At 52.8% G+C, this 20,339-nt stretch overlaps 1 protein-coding gene across 1 annotated transcript, besides 5 other annotated features; it reads left to right on the plus strand.

The window, feature by feature from the left end:
- Positions 1,662-2,011: a silencer, noted in NCBI's record as "silent region_14956". NCBI's record gives its function as "represses an Ori minimal core promoter by ATAC-STARR-seq in GM12878 lymphoblastoid cells {active_cell/tissue: GM12878}" and the evidence as "EXISTENCE:reporter gene assay evidence [ECO:0000049][PMID:35858748]".
- DVL3 (dishevelled segment polarity protein 3) lies at positions 1,765-20,002 on the plus strand. The gene is made up of 15 exons (NM_004423.4): positions 1,765-2,184; positions 10,045-10,114; positions 10,655-10,776; positions 10,880-10,989; positions 11,184-11,319; positions 11,501-11,594; positions 11,810-11,879; positions 12,514-12,653; positions 12,834-12,910; positions 12,994-13,061; positions 13,214-13,363; positions 13,968-14,099; positions 14,286-14,453; positions 16,394-16,609; positions 16,707-20,002. The coding sequence occupies exons 1-15, from the start codon at positions 2,024-2,026 to the stop codon at positions 17,141-17,143; spliced, it is 2,151 nt and encodes a 716-aa protein (NP_004414.3). The 5' UTR covers positions 1,765-2,023; the 3' UTR covers positions 17,144-20,002.
- Positions 2,349-3,226: an enhancer, noted in NCBI's record as "H3K27ac-H3K4me1 hESC enhancer chr3:183873749-183874626 (GRCh37/hg19 assembly coordinates)". NCBI's record gives its function as "activates a minimal SCP1, AML or CMV promoter by ChIP-STARR-seq in naive and primed H9 embryonic stem cells {active_cell/tissue: H9 hESC(naive and primed)}" and the evidence as "EXISTENCE:reporter gene assay evidence [ECO:0000049][PMID:30033119]".
- Positions 3,227-4,102: an enhancer, noted in NCBI's record as "H3K27ac-H3K4me1 hESC enhancer chr3:183874627-183875502 (GRCh37/hg19 assembly coordinates)". NCBI's record gives its function as "activates a minimal SCP1, AML or CMV promoter by ChIP-STARR-seq in primed H9 embryonic stem cells {active_cell/tissue: H9 hESC(primed)}" and the evidence as "EXISTENCE:reporter gene assay evidence [ECO:0000049][PMID:30033119]".
- Positions 7,285-7,785: an enhancer, noted in NCBI's record as "H3K27ac hESC enhancer chr3:183878685-183879185 (GRCh37/hg19 assembly coordinates)". NCBI's record gives its function as "activates a minimal SCP1, AML or CMV promoter by ChIP-STARR-seq in primed H9 embryonic stem cells {active_cell/tissue: H9 hESC(primed)}" and the evidence as "EXISTENCE:reporter gene assay evidence [ECO:0000049][PMID:30033119]".
- Positions 17,929-18,223: an enhancer, noted in NCBI's record as "tiled region #1463; K562 Activating non-DNase unmatched - State 5:Enh". NCBI's record gives its function as "activates a minimal TATA promoter and a strong SV40 promoter by Sharpr-MPRA in K562 cells {active_cell/tissue: K562}" and the evidence as "EXISTENCE:reporter gene assay evidence [ECO:0000049][PMID:27701403]".

Consider the following 20,339-nt stretch of genomic DNA (forward strand, 5'->3'; position numbering starts at 1 on the left):
TTCTAGTGTTAATTTGGCAACAGTGTATAAAATGGAGTAGAAGGAGCCCATACTTAAGACCATAGCATCCAAGGCCCTATGTAATCTGGCGGGTCTATGTTTCCAGCCTCACCTAGGACTGTTCCTTTAGTCATGATGGCCTTCTTATTCCTCAAATGTAACATGTTTATTCCTGCCTTGAGCCTGTATATTGGCTGTGCCCTCTGCCTAGAAGGCTGTCACCCCAGATCTTCTCATAGCCACTTCATCCTTGCTATTTCTAGGTCTTTTTTTCTGGAAGAAGTTTTCTCTAACCAATCAGAAACCTCTTTCTCGTTTTGTTTTGGTTGTTTTGTTTTTGTTTTTGTTTGAGGCGGAGTCTCGCTCTGTCGCCCAGGCTGGAGTGCAGTGGTGGGATCTCGGCTCACTGCAAGCTCCACCTCCCGGGTTCAAGCGATTCTCCTGCCTCAGCCTCCCGAGTAGCTGGGACTACAGGCATGCGCCACCATGTCCAGCTAATTTTTGTATTTTTACTAGAGACGGGGTTTCACCATTTTGGCCAGGCTGGTCTCGAACTCCTAACCTCAGGTGATCCACCTGCCTCAGCCTCCCAAAATGTTGGAATTACAGGCATGAGCCATTGCGCCTGGCTTCCCCTGTCACTATCCCATCACTTTGTTTTACCTTCTTCATAGCAGTGGTCACTCTGAAGTTATGTATTTACAAGCCTATGTGCTTCCCTCCAGCTGAGGGAAGGTCCTGAGAGCAGCCTTGTCTGTCTCGCTATCGCTATATCTCATGCGATATGCCTTATACACAGTAGGCCTTCAGTATTTATTAAATGAATTAAAAGTTAAGGGGTGAGGAGATCTGTGAGGAACCGGCTATACCTAGTTCTGGAGTTCTGGTTTGAGACTTACTGTCTTAGGCATGCATGCATCCACTTATCTTTTTTTTTGGGGGGGGGCGAGGGGGGATGGAGTTTCACTTTTGTTGCCCAGGCTGGAGTGCAAAGGCAGGATCTCGACTCACCGATCTCGGCTCACCGCAACCTCCGCCGCCCGTGTTCAAGCGATTCTTCTGCCTCAGCCTCCCGAGTAGCTGAGATTACATGCATGCGCCACCACGCCCGGCTAATTTTTTTGTATTTTTAGTAGAGACAGGGTTTCTCCATGTTGGTCAGGCTGGTCTTGAACTCTCGACCTCGGGCGATCCGCCCGCCTTGGCCTCCCAAAGTGCTGGGATTAGAAGCGTGAGCCACCGCGCCCGGGCCCCACTTATTCCGCATTCAACCCATTTATTAAACCACTACCTTGCAACTGGACGCTAAGGTTATAGGGAGGAATCAGAACTGGATGCTGTCCTTCTCTCGAGATCAGTTTAGTAGACTCAGTGACAGCAGTTGTGCTTCTCAAGAAACACTGAAGGGCCATGTTGAGGTCATTCTCCTCCAGGGATCCAGAGTCAGACCCACCCTCTTTCCCCAGACCATTTCTGGGGACCAAAGCAATCCCTGCATTCCACTCTTCCTGGACTGCAGAGGAGTCGCCGATCCCACTTGGGTCCGGAGTCAGGGCCTTCAGGGGTCCGGGAACGCCGCCATCCCGGTGAATCTCCCCTTCCGTTTCTAGGGACCCGGGACCGGAGCGCCGCGGCCCGGCCAGTGGGCGGGAAACCCTGCCATCTGCCGCGACGCCGGCGCCTCTCCGCGGCGGCCGGGGGCGGGGCGCGCCGGGGCGGGGCCGCGCCGGGCCGGAGGAGGGGAGCGGGCCCGGACGAAGCCCTGGGCCGGGAGGGCCGCGGCCACCGGAAGAGTCGCGGTCGCCAGTCCAGTCGGGAGAGTGGGGAGCGGAAGCGGCGGCCGCGGCGGCGGCGGGCGGCGCTGGGACCCGGTAGCGGCCGGAGAACAAGGGAGCTGGCGCCGCCAGCAGCCGCCGAGCTGGGTTGAGCCGCTGGGCCGCGCCGCGCGCCGCCGCCGTCTGGGAGGCTCGGCCCGGCCGCCCGAGCAGGCCGCGCGCGGGCCGCCGGGCCCGAGGCCAGAGCCATGGGCGAGACCAAGATCATCTACCACTTGGATGGGCAGGAGACGCCGTACCTTGTGAAGCTGCCCCTGCCCGCCGAGCGCGTCACCTTGGCGGACTTTAAGGGCGTTTTGCAGCGACCCAGCTATAAGTTCTTCTTCAAGTCTATGGACGACGATTTCGGGTGAGGATGGCCCCCGCCCCGCCTCCGGGAGCCCCGGCCGCTCTGGCTTCTAAGGGATGACGCGGTCCGTTTCGACTTGCCTCGCTACACCGGCTCCTAGCCCCGCTCTGACTTCTAGGGGCGACTCGGCCCATTTGGGCCCCTTTGGTTCCAGCCCCAGTAGCAACTCCCGTTTACCTCTGAAGAGGGGACGTTGGCCTCCCTTGTTTAAGGGGACGTCCAATTCCCCACTAGCAATCAGAGTTCCTGCCGGTGCGGTCCCCTTACCTCTTCAGAGACCAGTGGCCCACAGAGACAGACACACCCCCCCTCCACCTAGTTTCAGAGCCCGAGTCCCCCATCCTCCTCCTGCCGAGGAGCCAGAGCCACCTTTTTCCGCACAGACTTGGGTCGTGTGGCCCTCGTTCTTCGCCCCCTTCATCTTTTCAGCAGCACAGCTCCCAGCCATATTTGGAGTATGCTGCATCTGAGGGCTCTGCTGGGACTTTGAGCTGGGGGAGGGGTGTCGGGGGTGCTCGGGCGCCTGGCCGCGAGCGGGGTCTGCAGATCTGATGTTTATCTAGCTGCCTGCCCTCTCCTTTGTGGGCTGTTGTGGGTGTTGTCACCGGAACAGAGAGCCTGACCCCTGCGGAGTAGTCCTCACTGACCCAGGTGCTGATCTTTCCTCCAATTCGGGCTTTTTTCCTCCAGTTGGTGGCCAGTGGAGAGACGTTAGGAAGGGCCTGGGGCCTGGGTGGGATAGCCAGGAAGAGTTTCTTGGTGTTCTCTATCTTCCCCTCCCTGGTGGGGTCTTCCCTTCCACCCAGCTGCAGAGATCTGGACAGGCACAGTTTGGAAGCAGTCACTTTCCCTTTAAGAGGGGATGGAATGTTGGAGCCGGAAGGTTCTGAAGCAGCTGGCCTGGGAAGAGGGGGGCCTGGCTGATCCCCCTCGAACCCCCCCAACTCCCAGGAGACTGGGGGAGGGGGAGGCGCCCACACTTGCCTGCCGCCTCACTAACTGGGCGCTGGGCCTGGAGGCGGTGGGGAAGGCCCCTCCAGGCCTGAAGGCTGCCTCTCCAGCCCTAGCCTGAGGCCTGCACTGCTCTTTGGAGCTGAGGCCCCACAGCCAAGAGGAGACATTCTTCTCCCCAGTGTTCATCTGTCTGGCTTCTCTCCCAAGCCCCTGGCCCACCTAGCACTAGGAAGCAAGCACCTTCTGTCTAATGCCTGGCATGTTTTGCTGTCACCTTCTGCCCTGGAACTCAGGGTTGGATGAGCCCCTGAAATCATGTGTGTGAGAGTGCTTTGTACAGTGGGCAGTGCTTTGTAGATTCTAACTATTCTTGTTTCTGTTGTTGTTCCTGCCCTGGGGTGGGGTGCTCCTGGTGTGATAATGATTGTCTGCCTTCAGCCCAGAGACAGACACCTCTAATTGGAAGATTCTGAGGAGGGATGGATCTAGAAGGGGTCTGGGTGAGGGGGTGGATACTTTGGCCTGGCAAGAGAAGAATAGGGTTAGAAGGGATCAAGCTACTGCCTCCACATAAGGAATGGGGGAAGATGAGCCAGAGTCCAGTGCCCTGGGGCCACCTCAGATCCAGATGCCTTGAGGGACTAAGATAGGCTGTCTCTCCACCCTGTACTTATCTCCAGACCCACTGGACCTGGCCCCTGCCTCCTAAGCCTGGACAACTCTGGGCTGCTCTCCCAATCCCAAGGCCTAACTGCAGTTTTAAGAGGGCCCCCATTACATCCAGTCACTGTTACTTAATATTTTTCTTTAAATCCATTGTCAGTCCACTTACTGTTTTTCTTAGCTTGAACCAAGCAATAATATGAAACCATAGGTCTGACTTTTCTGTTTATATTTCTTTCTAAAATATGTTTAACATAAATATTTAATGATTGAACTAAGCAATGTTAATCTGTGTGCCACCTGAAGCCATCTTGCAAACATCAGTGGTACTTGAACCAAAATCAGAGTTGGACCATTTTAGCAGGGTTGAAAACAGTATTAAAAATGAAGTGGAGGAGATGGATTCTGTTTGTATCCCCAGAAGGATAAATGAGCAGGGGAACTGATAGAGCTGTCTTGTCACAGAGGACTAATAGCTGAAGAGCATATATATATGTTTCATTTATTTAACACACGCCTTTTATGCTTAGTGTGCCAGGGACTAATCTAAATGCTTTTCAAATCTTCACTCATTTAATCTTCGAAACAGCCTTATGAAATAGATAGCGTAATAGTATCTCTAGTTTACAAATGAAACTCTGTCAGGCATGGTGGCTCACACCTGTAATCTCAGCAATTTGGGAGGCTGAGGTGGGAGGATTGCTTGAGGCCAGGAATCTGAGACCAGCCTTGGCAACATAGCAAGACCCCATCTCTACAAAAAAATTTTTTAATTAGCCAGGCATGATGCTTTGTGCCTGTAGTCCCAACTTGGGAGGCTGAGACAGGAGGATCACTTGAGCATAGGAGTTTGGGGCTGCAGTGAGCTGTGATGGTGCCACTGTACTCCAGCCTGGAAAATAGAGTGGGACCGTGTTTCAGAAAAAAAAAAAAAAGGAAACTAGAGCACAGAAAGCTTAAGTAACTTGCCTAAGGTCACACAGCTAATAAGAGGCAGAGCAGAGCTTGCTTTGACATCAGGAATCTGGATCCAAAAATCTAAATCCTTAATCGCACAATTTTAGGTGTCATTATTATCACCATTTTACTGATGAATCCTCTCCGAGGGAGGTGGTAAGCCTTGGAAAACTGTAGAGGTGACAAGGCCACCATTTCTCCGAGCCCCACAAGAGGAAGGTCAGGCGGAGGTCAGTGACCCTAGAGGAAGGAAAGTGGGTCAGAGGAGGAAGGCTGCTGTCTCTCCAGTTTCTCCACTCCTGGCTCAGCCTTTGAGGTGCTAGTTGTGAGGCTCCTCAAGTCCCATCTGGTCTACAAAAGTATTTGTCAAGCTCAGGGTAGGCCCAGCCATCTTTTTAAATTTTTTTTCTTTTTTTTTTTTTTTTGAGGAGTTTTGCTCTCGTCACCCAGGCTGGAGTGCAGTGGCGCAATCTCGGCTCACTGCAACCTTCGCCTCCCGGGTTCAGGTGATTCTCCTGCCTCAGCCTCCCAAGTAGCTGGGATTACAGGCATGAGCCACCATGCCTGGCTAATTTTAGTATTTTTGGTAGAGATGGGGTTTCACCACGTTGGCCAGGCTGGTCTGGAACTCCTGACCTCAAGCAATCCACCCACCTCGGCCTCCCCAAGTGCTGGGATTACAGGTGATGAGCCACCGCGCCTGGCCTGCCATCTTAAGTTATTTGAGAAATGGAGGAAGGATAAACATTTTCAGCATTGAGGGCATGGTGGATGGTTCATAGAAGTAAGGTGCCTACTGCTAGTCTGGCCTTGAGCTGTGAGAGAGGGCAGCATGGCGATCAGGTCATTAGCTGTGTGGCTTCCTGCTCCACTGTCCTCCCTCTGGGCCTTCCACCTGCAGACTCTTCTTCCCCTGTCTCCTCCAGGTTCAAATTCTCCTGTCTTCTGGGTTGAGCTTTTCTGTGAGAACTGTCATGGCACTCTCTTATTTTATCCTTTTTTTTTTTTTTTGAGATGGAGCCTGGCTTTGTCACCCAGGCTGGGGTACAGTGGTGCGACCTTGGCTCACTGCAACCTCTGCCTCCCGGGTTCAAACGATTCTCCTGCTTCAGCCTCACAAATAGCTGGGACTACTGGTGTGTGCCACCACACCTGGCTAATTTTTGTATTTTAAATAGAGATGGGGTTTTGCTACGTTAGCCAAGCTAGTCACGAACTCTTGACCTCAAGTGATCCGCCCACCTTGGCCTCCCAAAGTGCTGGGATTACAGGTGTGAGCCACCGTGCCTGGTATATTTTATCTTTATATCCTGACACCTGTGTAACACTCAGCAGATGTCTATCCATTGAACACATGTGCTGCTCCTACGGCTCCAACCACTTCCTGGATTGCAGTATATTTCCATGAACTATCCACTGGACCATAGTCTCTCTGAGAACAAGGCAGGCTCTGGGTCTGATGTTTCATGAGAAAACCTACAATAGCAAGCTCAGGACCTGAAACCCACTGGGCCCTCAGCCAAAGCATTTTATTTTATTTTATTTTTATTTTTTTATTTTTTATTTTTATTTTATTGTATGTTTTTTGAGAGGGAGTCTCGCTGTGTCGCCCAGGCTGGAGTGCAGTGGCACGATCTTGGTTCACTGCAAGCTCCGCCTCCTGGGTTCACGCCATTCTCCTCCCTCAGCCTCCCGAGTAGCTGGGACTACAGGTGCCCGCCACCACGCCCTGCTAATTTTTTTTTTTTTTTTTTGGTATTTTTAGTAGAGACGGGGTTTCACCGTATTAGCCAGGATGGTCTTGATCTCCTGACTCATGATCCGCTCACCTTGGCCTCCCAAAGTGCTGGGATTACAGGCCTGAGCCACCGTGCCCTGCCAGTCAAAGCATTTTAATTGGATGAACAATGAATGATGAACAGGTTTATTTGCTTTGCCCTTAATAATGTATACGTAGTTAGAAATAGTGTATGGATCCTGCTAAAAATGGACAATATAATTAGCTTTTACTGTATGCCTGGATCATGCCAGGCATTTAAGGATCCCTTTTACCAGGATGAGACAAAGGCTTGGAGAAATTAAGAAACTTCTCTAAGATAAGAGGGCCAGTAAGTGGTAGAATTGGAATTTGAGTCATTATTTGTTTGACTCCATTTGGGGTATGAGTGTGTGTGTGTGTGTGTAAGTGCTATGTAAACCCCAGCCATTCAGCTCCATGGTGGGAGAGTAAGACCTGTCTGAGGTTCCCCAAAGCTGCTGAAGATCAGCTGATTGTTTTGAGTCAGCAGAGCCTTGGTGGCCTGTCGATGACCCCCAGAAAGAGAGGAAACGTGTAGTGTGGAGCAGTGTGGTGGGGCCTGCCAGGGGAGCAGGGAGGTAGGGACTCAGCAGCAATTTCCCCCAGACAGGCAGACCCTATCCAAAGCAGGCTGTGCCATGTGGCCCACATATTCCCTTTTCCTTTGAGCCCTGTGGGGCTGCCAACCTGGAGTACCCTGTGGCCAGAGTGGCTGGTGGGTCTGAGCTACCTCTGTGTCCCTTCTTTCTAGCCTGTCCTTTCTACACTTTCTGCCATGGTGGGCCGCAGTAGGATGATTTGGGCTGCTTTCCGAGGGTCGCTGTGGCTCTGGGAATGATAGAGGAGCCAGAGCTGGATGGGAGTGGGGAGGGCAGGCTTGGCCTGTGAACTTGGCTGTGAGTCCAAAAATGTGAGCATCACAAGGGAGCCAAGCACATTCCCAGCTCTGGGCAGAAGCTGCTCTAAGAACAAGGGGGGCCAGGCACGGCGGCTCACGCCTGTAATCCCAGCATTTGGGGAGGCCGAGGTGGGCGGGTCACCTGAGGTCAGGAGTTCAAGACCACCCTGGCCAACACGGTGAAACCCTATCTCTACTAAAAATATAAAAATTAGCCAGGCGTGGTGGCAGGCACCTGTAATCCCAGCTACTCGGCAGGCTGAGGCAGGAGAATCACTTGAACCCGGGAGGCGCAGGTTGCAGTGGGCTGAGATTGCACCACTGGACTCCAGCCTGGGTGACAGAGCGAGACTCCGTCTCAAAAAAAAAAAACCAAAGAACAAGTGGGGACTGAACTTCCCAACCTCCTCCTTGCTGTCTTCCCTCTCTGCTCAGAGCTCCTGGCATGCGTCATCTTACCCTTGGTCATGTCTTCCCATCTCTGTACTCCTGGCATATTTGACAGTCTGAGGGTCCTCAAACTTTTCCACTCCCCTTCCTAGCCCCAAACTGTAGTTACTGCCTGACTTCTTGCCTCACCACATTCCCCCGGCCAAACTACATGCTCCGTGACCACATTCCACACCCTTCATGCCTCACATCATTGTCCTCCAGCACCCACTCTCCACATAGACCCACATTACCTCTGTTATTATATAGGAAAGAATGTGAAATACAGTGGAAAGAGTATGGATTTTGGAGTCAAGCCTGGGGTGAAATTCCAGCTCTGACATCTACCAGTCCTGTGACCTTGGACAAGTTAACTGAATACATCTCAGTTTCCTTATTCATGAAATGAAGATCATAGTCTGCCCACTGAGGCTGATGTGAAGATTATAGGTTCTAACTATAGGAAGATAAGGTGGTGTAATGGTAAGAATGCAGATGTTAGAGTCAGGCTAACCAGGATTCAAATTTCAGCAGTTTAGGAGAATTACTGAACCTATTGAGCCTAGTTTCCCCATTGTACCTGCTGCCTTATAGCATTGTTGTATTAAATGAAATTATATAAGTAAAGTGTTTAGCATAGTGCTTGGCCCATAATACTCATTTATGCTCAATAAATGACAGCAATTTTTTTTTTTTTTTTGAGACAGGGTCTTGCTCTGTCACCCAGGCTGGAGTGCAGTGGCACAATGATAGCTCACTGCAGCCTTGAACTCCTAGGCTCAAGCGATCGTCCCACCTCAGCCTTCCAAGTAGCTGGGACCACAGGCATACGCTACCACGCTCGGCTAATTTTTGTATTTGTTTTGTTTTGTAGAGCCGGCACCTCGCTATGTTGACCAGGCAGGTCTCAAAACTCCTGGCCTCAAGCGATCCTCCTGCCTTGGCCTCCCAAAGTGCTGAGATTACCAGCGTGAGAAAGAGCAATTATTACTGTTAATTATCATAATGGCATGTGGAAAATGTTCAGTAAATGCCTTCTCCCCTTCTCTTTTTCTTTTTCTTTTCTTTTTTTTTTTTTTTTTGACACGGAGTCTCACTCTGTTGCCCAGGCTGGAGCACAGTGGCGTGATCTCAGCTCACTGCAACCTCCACCTGCCCGATTCAAGTGATTCGCCTGCCTTAGCCTCCCAAGTAGCTGGGATCACAGGACTGGTAGATGTCAGAGCTGGAATTTCACCCCAGGCTTGACTCCAAAATCCATACTCTTTCCACTGTATTTCACATTCTTTCCTATATAATAACAGAGGTAACGTGGGTCTATGTGGAGAGTGGGTGCTGGAGGACAATGATGTGAGGCATGAAGGGTGTGGAATGTGGTCACGGGGCATGTAGTTTGGCCGGGGGAATGTGGTGAGGCAAGAAGTCAGGCAGTAACTACAGTTTGGGGCTAGGAAGGGGAGTGGAAAAGTTTGAGGACCCTCAGACTGTCAAATATGCCAGGAGTACAGAGATGGGAAGACACCCAAGTAGATGGGTGCACACCACCACACCCGGCTAATTTTTGTATTTTTAGTAGAGATGGGGTTTTGCCATGTTAGCCAGGCTGGTCTCGTACTCCTGACCTCAGGGTGATCTGCCTGCCTCAGCCTCTCAAAGTTCTGGGATTACAGGTGTGAGCTATCACGCCTGGCCTCCCCTTCTCTTTTCTAATTTTCTTAAATTCTTTGTCCATACCTCCCACAACAATGTTAGGATTCCCACTTAAGAAAGGAAGGACAGTTATAATTGTATGCTTTTTTCCAATTAGGGATCAGAGGGAAAGAGAAAGTCTAGCCCAGGAGAGTCATGTTGGGGATGGGTAGAGCACTTTAGAGATTTTAGGGAGTGGCATGGGGGACAGTGATGTGTCAGTTGTAATTTGCAATCACCTGATGACTGAGAGGATGCCCCGGGAAGGTATCTGGCCTAGGCAGGGCTGGTGTCTTCCTGGTGGTGCCAAAGAGCTGTCTCTGGGTCTCCCCAACCTCTGCTTTCATTTGAACAGTCTTGTGCTGGTGGTTTGATTCCCAGTTTAGGATGGAGGAGCCCCTGAGAGTTGGGATTTGAGGATCCTCCATTTGCACCCTAGAAGGTTCTCTGTGACATCCCCCTTTCTCTGCAGAGTGGTGAAGGAGGAGATCTCGGATGACAATGCCAAGCTACCATGCTTCAATGGCCGGGTGGTGTCCTGGGTAAGGAGCCCTCAGCCTTCCATCCACCTGCATCCCTGTGCTGGGCTGGACGAGGGAAAGGCATCACTGAGATTGTAGCTGGTGGTTTTAAGCTTCAGTATCTGAATCTTTCTTTAGTTTTGCAAATGAACTGCTTCTCACCCCAGATTCTGTAACCTTTGATGAAAAGTGAGAAATTAGTGGGAAGGGGGAAGAGGGAGAGACGGAAACACACAGTGGAGACAGTAACGTTTCCTATGCCGTTCAGACACTTGCCTCAGATTTCCTTCTGCCATCTGCTCATCTCTGCCTTAGACCTCTGAGCCTTGTTCTTTGTCCCCATTCCACTTCACCACCCCATGCCTTCCAACAACCCCGTCAATAGCAGGAAGTGGCAGAGGGGCCACTGTTCATCTCAGCCACCCTCGCACAGCCCTGTCTTTTCTCCCTCGATATTTCCTGCTTCCTTCCTCTTAGGCCTTCATGCCTTGCTGGAAGTGAACTATCCCCTTCTCCTTGATGCTCCTGTAACATACTACTCACTCAGTTTCTCCCTTTCAGCTGGTGTCAGCTGAGGGCTCACACCCAGACCCAGCCCCCTTCTGTGCTGATAACCCATCGGAGCTGCCACCACCTATGGAGCGCACGGGAGGCATCGGGGACTCCCGACCCCCATCCTTCCAGTGAGTGTGACCTGAGGGTGGGGAGGGCCGCATCAGTTCAGCCCAGGGCTGGGGGAGGGAGCCCCCAGCCTGCCCCCTCCCCCATCAAGTCTCTTCCCTGCAGCCCTCATGCTGGTGGGGGCAGCCAGGAGAACCTGGACAATGACACAGAGACGGACTCTTTGGTGTCTGCCCAGCGAGAGCGGCCACGCCGGAGGGATGGCCCAGAGCATGGTATATCTTCCTGAACACGGACACTGTCCGCACCTCACACCCTCCCCTCACTTTCCACCCAGCTACCCACCTTCTTGCCCTACTTCCCGAGCTCAGGATATGCCTGGCCCCAGTGCAGCCCCTGGCTTGCCTCTCTCCCTCCTTCACCCCTGCACTGGGCACTGTGTAAACCCAACTGCTTCCATCCCCTGCAGCAACCCGGCTAAATGGAACTGCGAAGGGGGAACGGCGGCGAGAACCAGGGGGTTATGATAGCTCATCCACCCTTATGAGCAGTGAGCTGGAGACCACCAGCTTCTTTGACTCAGATGAGGATGACTCCACCAGCAGGTGGGGCTTGAGTTTCATGGGTATTGTGGGGCAGGTGACCCTGGAGGAGCCCTAAACCCTGAGGATGCGGGGCCCCTGGGAGGCTTATGGGCTTTGTGTTGGGGACCCAGGCCCTGCAGTGCCTCCCCTCATGGGGGCAGGGCTGGGCCAGCCTGGTGGGGAACGACTGTGGGCCCCACAGGTTCAGCAGCTCCACAGAACAGAGCAGTGCCTCACGCCTGATGAGAAGACACAAGCGGCGGCGGCGGAAGCAGAAGGTTTCTCGGATTGAGCGGGTATGGGGTCTGGGAGGCTAGGGATGGGTGGAGGCAGATTGTGAGCCCTTCCTACGCAGGGCCAAGGCTTGTTCTTCCTTAGATCCCATCCCCCTAGTGCAGTGTTGAGAACCTTGGGGCTGGGGGCTGCACCGGGGACTCACCTTGAGGAGGAGTCAGGTGGGAGTGAATTCCTGCCACCTCCACCTGCTGCTCAGGGCCTCTGTCTATTCCAGTCCTCGTCCTTCAGCAGCATCACGGACTCCACCATGTCACTCAACATCATCACGGTCACTCTCAACATGGGTGAGTCTGAGGAAACAGCACTCTCAAGCACCTGCTATATGCCAGACACTGGGCAGACTTGAGTTCAGAGAGCGTAGAATATGTTCCCTGCCCTCAAGGAGCTCTCTTTCGTAAACATCAGCTGATACATAAACTGATCATTTTAGTATCTCACCATCAGGGCTATGACAGAGATAAGCACAGAGAGCTGTGGAAGCAGAAAATGGTATCAGGGAAGGCTTCCTGGAGGAAGTGATTTCTGAGTGCCCACTCCTTCACATCTCTCAGCCATTGCATCCTTGCTCTCCGATTTCTGCCCTAGGTACTCTCTTTATGAGACAGCTGGATATAGTAAAAGGAGCCCAACTATGGGATTTAAATCTGAGTTTGATTCCTGGCTCTGCCACTTACTGGCTTAGAAAAGTCATCTTCTAAGTTCACTGAACCTCAGTTGCCTGCTCTGTAAAATGGGACTGAGTCCCTACCTTATAGCCAGCAAGGGTTCCATGGAAGCATGTTTGAGCATGCTGAGTGCAGTGCCTGATTCAGGATCAGCAAATGTCAGTTCAGTTCCTGTCCCTTTCCATTTTCTAATGGGCTGGGAATGCGGGTAGGAACCTTGCTCCCCCTTAAGGTCTTAAATTACTCTCTATAGAAAAATATAACTTCTTGGGCATCTCCATTGTGGGCCAAAGCAACGAGCGTGGTGACGGCGGCATCTACATTGGCTCTATCATGAAGGGTGGGGCCGTGGCTGCTGATGGACGCATCGAGCCAGGAGATATGTTGTTACAGGTATCAGTGCCCATCCTAGGCGGTGGTGTGGATAGAGGGCAGGGAGGTGTCCTACCATCTGTACCCTGCTCCTTCAGAGGCCCCTTCTTGGTTGGGGGAAGACTCCCTGACCTACCAAGTTGAGTTCCCTTTTCATCCTCCCCAGCACAGCTGTTTATCCCACTCCTGGTCCTTTCCCAGGTAAACGAGATCAACTTTGAGAACATGAGTAATGACGATGCAGTCCGGGTACTGCGGGAGATTGTGCACAAACCGGGGTATGGATGGAATGGGGCACTGGGCAAGGGGCTTGGTCTGGCCTATACGCATCCTGCCTTCACTAGGACACCCTTGTTTTCAGGCCCATCACCCTGACTGTAGCCAAGTGCTGGGACCCAAGTCCACGTGGTTGCTTCACATTGCCCAGGAGTAAGTGGATGGGAGACTCAGTCCTAAAGCTGGTGCTTACATACATGAGCACTGTCTCTCCTTTCTTCTCTCACCCAGAACCCCCATATCTATCCTGTTGGGCCCAGCAGTGGGTGGGGTGGGTAGCCCATGACTCCTCATCCTCCCTGCAGGCGAGCCCATCCGGCCCATTGACCCTGCGGCCTGGGTCTCCCACACTGCAGCCATGACCGGCACCTTCCCTGCATACGGCATGAGCCCCTCCCTGAGCACCATCACCTCCACCAGCTCCTCCATCACCAGTTCCATCCCTGACACAGAGCGTGAGTGTCCCACCCTGTCTCCTGGGCCCAGCAGACAGGGCCAGGTGGGGGGACTGATGAGGGTCCATGTGGAGACTCTTGCTTGAGCATCAGAGAGGGCTGGAGATGGGGCTCGGCTCATTCCAGCAACCCCACACTGCAACTCCCCCACAGCGGGCACTCCAACCCTCACTAAACAGTGTTTGCTTCTGAACTTGTATGAGCACCCAGGGCGCCTCAGTTTCCTCTTACAAAATGGGACTCACGATATAAACTTTACCAGGTTCCTGTGGGTTTAATGAGAGGATATAAGTGAAGCACCATTGCGATGTGTGGTGTAAAGTAAGCATTCAGTAAACGGCAGCCATTTCGATTATCATCACATGCACATCGTACACTGGCCAAGCACCTGCATTTACATTATTTAATCCTTTATTCAAATAGCCTTGTAAAGTAGATATTAAAATCCCCATTTTTTACAGAAGGGGAAACTGAGTGTCCAAGAAATCAGTAATTTTCCCAGCATTGATCCCATAATTACTAGATGGTAGAGCTAGAATGCAAACTCTTGTTTACCTAACTCCAAAGCCCCTTTCTGCCTCACCATTCTGCCTCCCACCCCCAGGCCTAGACGACTTCCACTTGTCCATCCACAGTGACATGGCTGCCATCGTAAAAGCCATGGCCTCCCCTGAATCAGGGTTGGAGGTCCGTGACCGCATGTGGCTCAAGATTACCATCCCTAATGCTTTCATCGGTGAGAGAGCCCCATGGTGGGATGCAGGGTGGGTGGGGAGTGATGGGGCAGGGCAGGCCGGAGGGCCCAGGACTTGCCTTGGACCCTTCCTTTGATCTGGAGCCAGCCCCAGCCTCATAGCTTCTGTGAGGCCAGATGAGTCCAAGTCAGATGGGCCTCCCCATCAACTGGCAGCCTTGTCCCCAGGCTCAGATGTGGTGGACTGGCTGTACCACAATGTGGAAGGCTTCACGGACCGGAGGGAGGCCCGCAAGTATGCCAGCAACCTGCTGAAAGCTGGCTTCATCCGCCATACCGTCAACAAGATCACCTTCTCCGAGCAGTGCTACTACATCTTCGGTGACCTCTGCGGCAGTATGTGCCTCCCTCATCTTCTTGCCCTGTCTCCTGGCTGGGAGTGGGGAGGTAGCCAGGGAAGTGGCAGCAGACTCTGGGGAACCCAAACTGGGGGACAGCAGAGCCAGGGGCCCAATTCAAGGCCTGAGAGTTCTATGGTGGAAGAAGAGTCCAGTTTAGCCTCTTCACCTGGCCCACATCTCCCTCTTGGGCCTGGCATTTTCTAAGTGCCTGCTCTGCCTGGTACCATGTTGGTTGTTCCTAAAGCATCATCTTACTCAATATTCACAACCTCCCAGAGGCCCAGCTCAGGAGGATACTGCCAGAATAGGCCTTTTCCTTCTCACTCGTCAAGGTCTCAGCTAGGGTGTTGTAGGCTTAAAGGGAAGAACTGGAGGCCTAGGTAGCCCCGAGGAGCACACAGTCATTCCCTCAAAACAAACAGCCTGGAGGCTCACGTCATCACCAGCTCTGGGCAACAGCTGACAGACCACTGCTTTCCTCCACCACCACTCCCCATGCTGGCTGCTGGCCTCTTGACAGGTTGATGGCTTGGCTGCAGGCTCCACAGGCAGCCTCAGAGCCCTGTCTCCTGACTTCTCTCTTGGAAGGCTGGGGCTGGCTCTTCTTAGGGCTGGGAGGAATGTCTCATCTTAATAGGGCCGGTGGCCTCAAGGGCAGTTGTAGCTCTCTTGGAGCTCTGGGACCTGGTACCGATAGTGTGTGAGCAGAGGGTGTCCCAGGCAGGTATTCAGTCCTGGTGGCCCCTTATATTCTCTTCAATGTAGTTCCAACATTGGTGGGAGTAGCCTTGCCATTAAGGAATGTATAATTTCCCCGGGGGCGCCAGGATCGTGAGATGAGTAATGTTGGTGGAGTGAGACAGTGCTATGAAGAGCTAGGCCTGGCTGGGAACGGGGTGGAGAGCAGTGGGGGAGGCACCTAAGTTGTTCTTTCCTTCTGGCCCCTTCCCACCCTACTCACCCTGCCCAGCAGCACTGGGAAAGTATAATCAGGGCCAAGTACCTTCTATATAGGGAATCTCTGGAAGGCCCTGCACTCATTCTAGGCTTTTAGTGGGTATTTAGTTCTAGGTGAAGGGGTGGGTAACACTTTACCTAAATTTCCCAAACTGCTCCTTGTCCTAATTAATGACCTCATCTGAGAAGGTAAGGAGAAAGTAAGCTACTCTTCGCGTCTGTTCTGATTAGTTTAGGCTGAGCTGAAGGTAGTGTTCGCTATTGTGCCTCATGAACTTCAGGTGCGACATACCTGGTGGCTGTCTAGTATTTCAGCCTTCCAAATTCTCCAGTCTTGCACCAGCTGAGTGAACGGAAGAGAAAATGGCCACATAAGAGTTTTGCAGGCCGGGCGCAGTGGCTCGCGCCTGTAATCCCAGCCTTTTGGGAGGCTGAGGCGGGCAGACCACCTGAGGTTAGGAGTTGGAGACCAGCCTGGCTAACGTGGCAAAACCCTGTATCTACTAAACATACAAAAAAAAAAATTAGCCAGGTGTGGTGGTGCAACCCTGTCAGGAGGCTGAGGCAGGAGAATCGCTTAAACCAGGGAGGAAGAGGTTGCAGGGAGCTGAAACTGTACCACTGCACTCCAGCCTTGGCCACAGAGCAAGACTCCGTCTCAAAGAGTTTTGCCGCTTCTAGCCCACTGAGGCCAGCAGAGAAAGTGCAAAAGCTTGGCCAGGGCCTTCAAGGGATTGGGAGGTACAGCTTTGGCTGAGAACCTAGAATGATGACTCAGGGTTGTCCTGAGAAGGGTCTCCCCGGGGCTGGCTCTGGTGGTGGCAAAGGGGGTCTGCAGAAGGGGGGAGCTCTCTGGGCTGTGCCTCCTCTCATTCTAGCCAGAAACTACCACGGTCTCTCTCATCCAGAGCCCACCTGACCTAGGCTAGGGACCTCTCTCCGGAAAGACCTAGCTCCATCCGGCCCTCCCCTTCACAGACATGGCCAACCTGTCTCTCCACGATCACGATGGCTCCAGTGGCGCCTCTGACCAGGACACACTGGCCCCTTTGCCGCACCCGGGGGCCGCCCCTTGGCCCATGGCTTTCCCGTACCAGTACCCGCCACCCCCGCACCCATACAACCCGCACCCGGGCTTCCCGGAGCTGGGCTACAGCTACGGCGGGGGCAGCGCCAGCAGTCAGCACAGCGAAGGTAAGGTAGAGGGGCCGTGGAGGAAGGCTATAGGTGGGCCCCAGGCTTCCCCCGCCCGCTCAGCCTGCCCCACCCCGGCCCTGTTTGCCTCCTACAGGCAGTCGGAGCAGTGGCTCCAACCGTAGCGGCAGCGATCGGAGGAAGGAGAAGGACCCGAAGGCCGGGGACTCCAAGTCCGGGGGCAGCGGCAGCGAATCGGACCACACCACACGCAGCAGCCTGCGGGGGCCGCGGGAGCGGGCGCCCAGCGAGCGCTCAGGGCCGGCGGCCAGCGAGCACAGCCACCGCAGCCACCATTCCCTGGCCAGCAGCCTTCGCAGCCACCACACACACCCGAGCTACGGTCCTCCCGGAGTGCCCCCTCTCTACGGCCCCCCCATGCTGATGATGCCCCCGCCGCCCGCGGCCATGGGGCCCCCAGGAGCCCCTCCGGGCCGCGACCTGGCCTCAGTGCCCCCGGAACTGACCGCCAGCAGACAGTCCTTCCGCATGGCCATGGGAAACCCCAGTGAGTTCTTTGTGGATGTGATGTGAGCAGGGCCCCTCCCCCAGCTCCATTCCGCTCCCACCCCAGCCGGCTGCGTTCCTCTCTCCATCCGTCCGTCTTTTTTACTTTGTCTGGTACCTGAAAGGGAAATAAAAGGAACTAAATCCAGGTGCGCTAACTGCTCGCAGGGTGCTGCGAGGGTGGGGTGCACCTACCGATTGGCTCTGCAGCCCCCTAACCTGCCTCTGGCCCCAGTTCGTTTCCTCTGCCCACTAATCCCTGCGCAGGACTTCCCAGGACCCCTTTTGTCTCTGGGACCAGACTTGTTGGTGCTACCCCTTACTCCCCTCTGCAACCCCCATTTTGGGAGTTGACCCCAGCAATGACCTTGGTGGCACGCTCACTCCCTCATTCTCTCGTTTCCCCTTTAGCTCCCTTTCACCATTTATTCAGCTACATCATCCCTCTATTAACCCCACCCCATCAGGCACGTGTGCAAACCTCTTGACTTTACCCCACATTACTGAAACCAAAATATATTTGCTTCATCTGCCCCTACTAACCATCCCCCTGCCTGCTGCCTCAGTCCTGCAACCTAAAGCTGTAGTCGCCTCCAATAGCCATCCATGCCATCCCTGCCTGTGCCTAGATCAGAGGCCCAGAGGGCCCCCTCAGTTGCCTGAGCAGCTGGTGGCTTCCAGGGAGCATCTCTGCTCTACCCCTGCCCCATGCCTGCCCTGCGTGCTGGTTCCTTCAGACCCCTAACCCTACTAACCAGCAGGCTCATCTCACCTCCAGGCCTGAAACATTTCTTTTCTTTCTTTTTTCCTCCCCCAATTTACCCTGGGCCTGGAGCAGCCAAGAATTTCGGGCTGTTTGACTTTCTGTGAGCCCCCAGCGAGGGGAGGCCCAGCCTCCGAGGAGACCAGGAACCCTGCTTCAGCAGCCCCTCAGGGCTTCCCAAGGATGTCCAGCCCCCACACCCACACGTTAACATAATGAGTCACTAGGCTTCTGGGGAGGGCCCAACTTCACCCATGCATGAGAGACTCTCCTCCTTTCCAGAGAGAATCGGATCGCACCACGTGTGGCAGCCTGCGGCGGGGGGAGGGGGGCCTCTTTAGCTCTCTTTATCTTTCTCTCTCACTCATGTATGCATACATGCACAGAGATGCATACACAGGTGCCTATGCAAGTTCATTTAAGCCTCAGGGCTGGTCCCTGCCCAAAGGGCTGGACCCTCCTAATCCTCTCCTAGGTTGTGGGGCTGGTCCCCTGACACCCTTCTCCCCTTCCTGGTAGACCTTAAACCTCGCACACATGTCCCCAGCATTTTCTCACCTGGATAAAGCCCATAAGCTGGGTCTCAGGCTGGGCTCAGCAAAGGACTCGCCTTGCAACCGACAGGCCATTCCCACCCCCACACACAACCTCCCCTGTTTTCACATTCACCATGGCATCCCAGAGCAAGGACACAGGAGCCCACAGGCCAGTTGAGGTTGGGCAAGGAGACTTCCAGGACTTCCAGACAGAGTACCAGGTTTTATTTTTCACCTTATTCTCTACTTTAAACAAATCATAACTTTCTCTTTAAGCCTCTGCTATAAATTCTCCTGGCTCTCCTGGGCTTCCATATTTTGGGGGCTGGGGTGTCAAAAGTGAGATGAAGTTCTTAGCTCCAGGTTTTGGGGTAAACCAAGGTAGGAACATTTTGGCATTTATTTCAATTAACAATACTTCCTTGGACGGGTGCGGTGGCTCACGTCTGTAATCCCAGCACTTTGGGAGGCTGAGACAGGTGGATCACTTGAGGTCGGGAGTTCGAGACCAGCCTGGCCAACATAGCAAAACCCTGTCTCTACTAAAAATACAAAAATTAGATGGGTGTTTTGGCACCTGCCTGTAATCTCAGCTACTCAGGAGGCTGAGGCACAAGAATCGCTTGAATCCAGGAAGCAAGCGGAGGTTGCAGTGAGTTGAGATCGCACTCCAGCCTGGGTGACAGAGTGAGATTCTGTCTCAAAAGCAAACTAACAAAGAAAAACAATACTTCCTGGGGTTTTGGTGTGCAGAGGGCTTTGTTGGAAGTGTGACTCAATCTTGCCTGCCTTCTGGGAGCTCTAGAATTGTTCCCAACCCAGTCCATGGCTTCTAGCCACCACTACAGGGCTGTTTCATGTACTTCTCTCTCTGACTCTGTCTTGTCCGACTCTCTTGAGAATTTCTCAACGATTGCTCATGCCTGTCAGTATCAGTGCTTCCATCGTTCCATCTTTGATTCACTTCTCTTTCCTTTCTATTTACTCCCAAAATGGAGTCATTCATCCTGATGTCCTCAATTGCTGCTGATATGCTGGTGATTCCCAAATACATAGCTCCAACCCCCAACTTCCCCCAGACTTTAGATCTGTATTGGTATTACCTACTGGACATCTCTATGGACAGTTCCGTATAGACTCAACTCATCTGCCCAACCAAGTATGTTCCTCCTGAATTCCTCTCCTGGTTACTTCATCACAATCTACATAGGCTCACCAGCTAGAAACATTTATGAGCTTACATTCCTTCTTCCCATATCTTATCAGCATATCATATCCATTTCACTCCAACACTCTGTCTTGAATTTGGCCCTCCCTCTCCCCTCTCTACTTTAATTCATTGGAGCATGGGATTTGGAGTTAGGTGGTTTTGGGTTTGAATTCCAGCTCTACTATTTTTGGTTGTGTGATAGAGTTATTTAACCTCTCTGAGCCTCAGTTCCCTCGTATGTAAAATGATGATAATAATACCTACCTCACAGGGTTGTTGTGAGGATTTAAATTAGATATTGTACGAAAAGTGCCTAGCACAGTGCCTGGCACACAGTAGAGTAGGTGCTCAATAAATGGTAGCTATTATTATTATTATTTTATCATTATTATTATTTACTCTAAATTGGTAGCAGTTTAGGGTATTTTTGGAAGATAAAGCTTTTGCAAAGGTAGAAGTGAAGCCTTGAGTGCTGGTTCAAAAATTAGAAGTGCCTGTATTCAGTCACTTAATGACTTCAGGCCGTGACTATGATGTGAGAGAGGTCAGATCTTCATCCTGCCACATCGTGGCTTCTGGCTGGAGGCTGGGAAGGACTGTAACATTTGCAACCAGATCTGTCCTTTCTTGCCCTTCCTTCCTCCCATGACAGGCGTAGTCCTGCCCAAGGAAGGCAGCAGTTTATCTCTGCCTACAGAAAGAGAAGAGCCAACA

Source organism: Homo sapiens, chromosome 3 (genome assembly GCF_000001405.40).
Source record: "Homo sapiens chromosome 3, GRCh38.p14 Primary Assembly".
In the NCBI taxonomy this organism is placed as follows: domain Eukaryota; kingdom Metazoa; phylum Chordata; class Mammalia; order Primates; family Hominidae; genus Homo; species Homo sapiens.

Excerpts from the sequence above, each read along its gene's own strand:
- DVL3 (NM_004423.4), top strand. The coding sequence starts at position 2,024 with ATGGGCGAGACCAAGATCATCTACCACTTGGATGGGCAGGAGACGCCG. Across the intron at positions 10,777-10,879 it reads TCCCGACCCCCATCCTTCCA|CCCTCATGCTGGTGGGGGCA; the intron begins GTGAGTGTGACC and ends TCTTCCCTGCAG. Across the intron at positions 13,364-13,967 it reads TTCCATCCCTGACACAGAGC|GCCTAGACGACTTCCACTTG; the intron begins GTGAGTGTCCCA and ends TCCCACCCCCAG.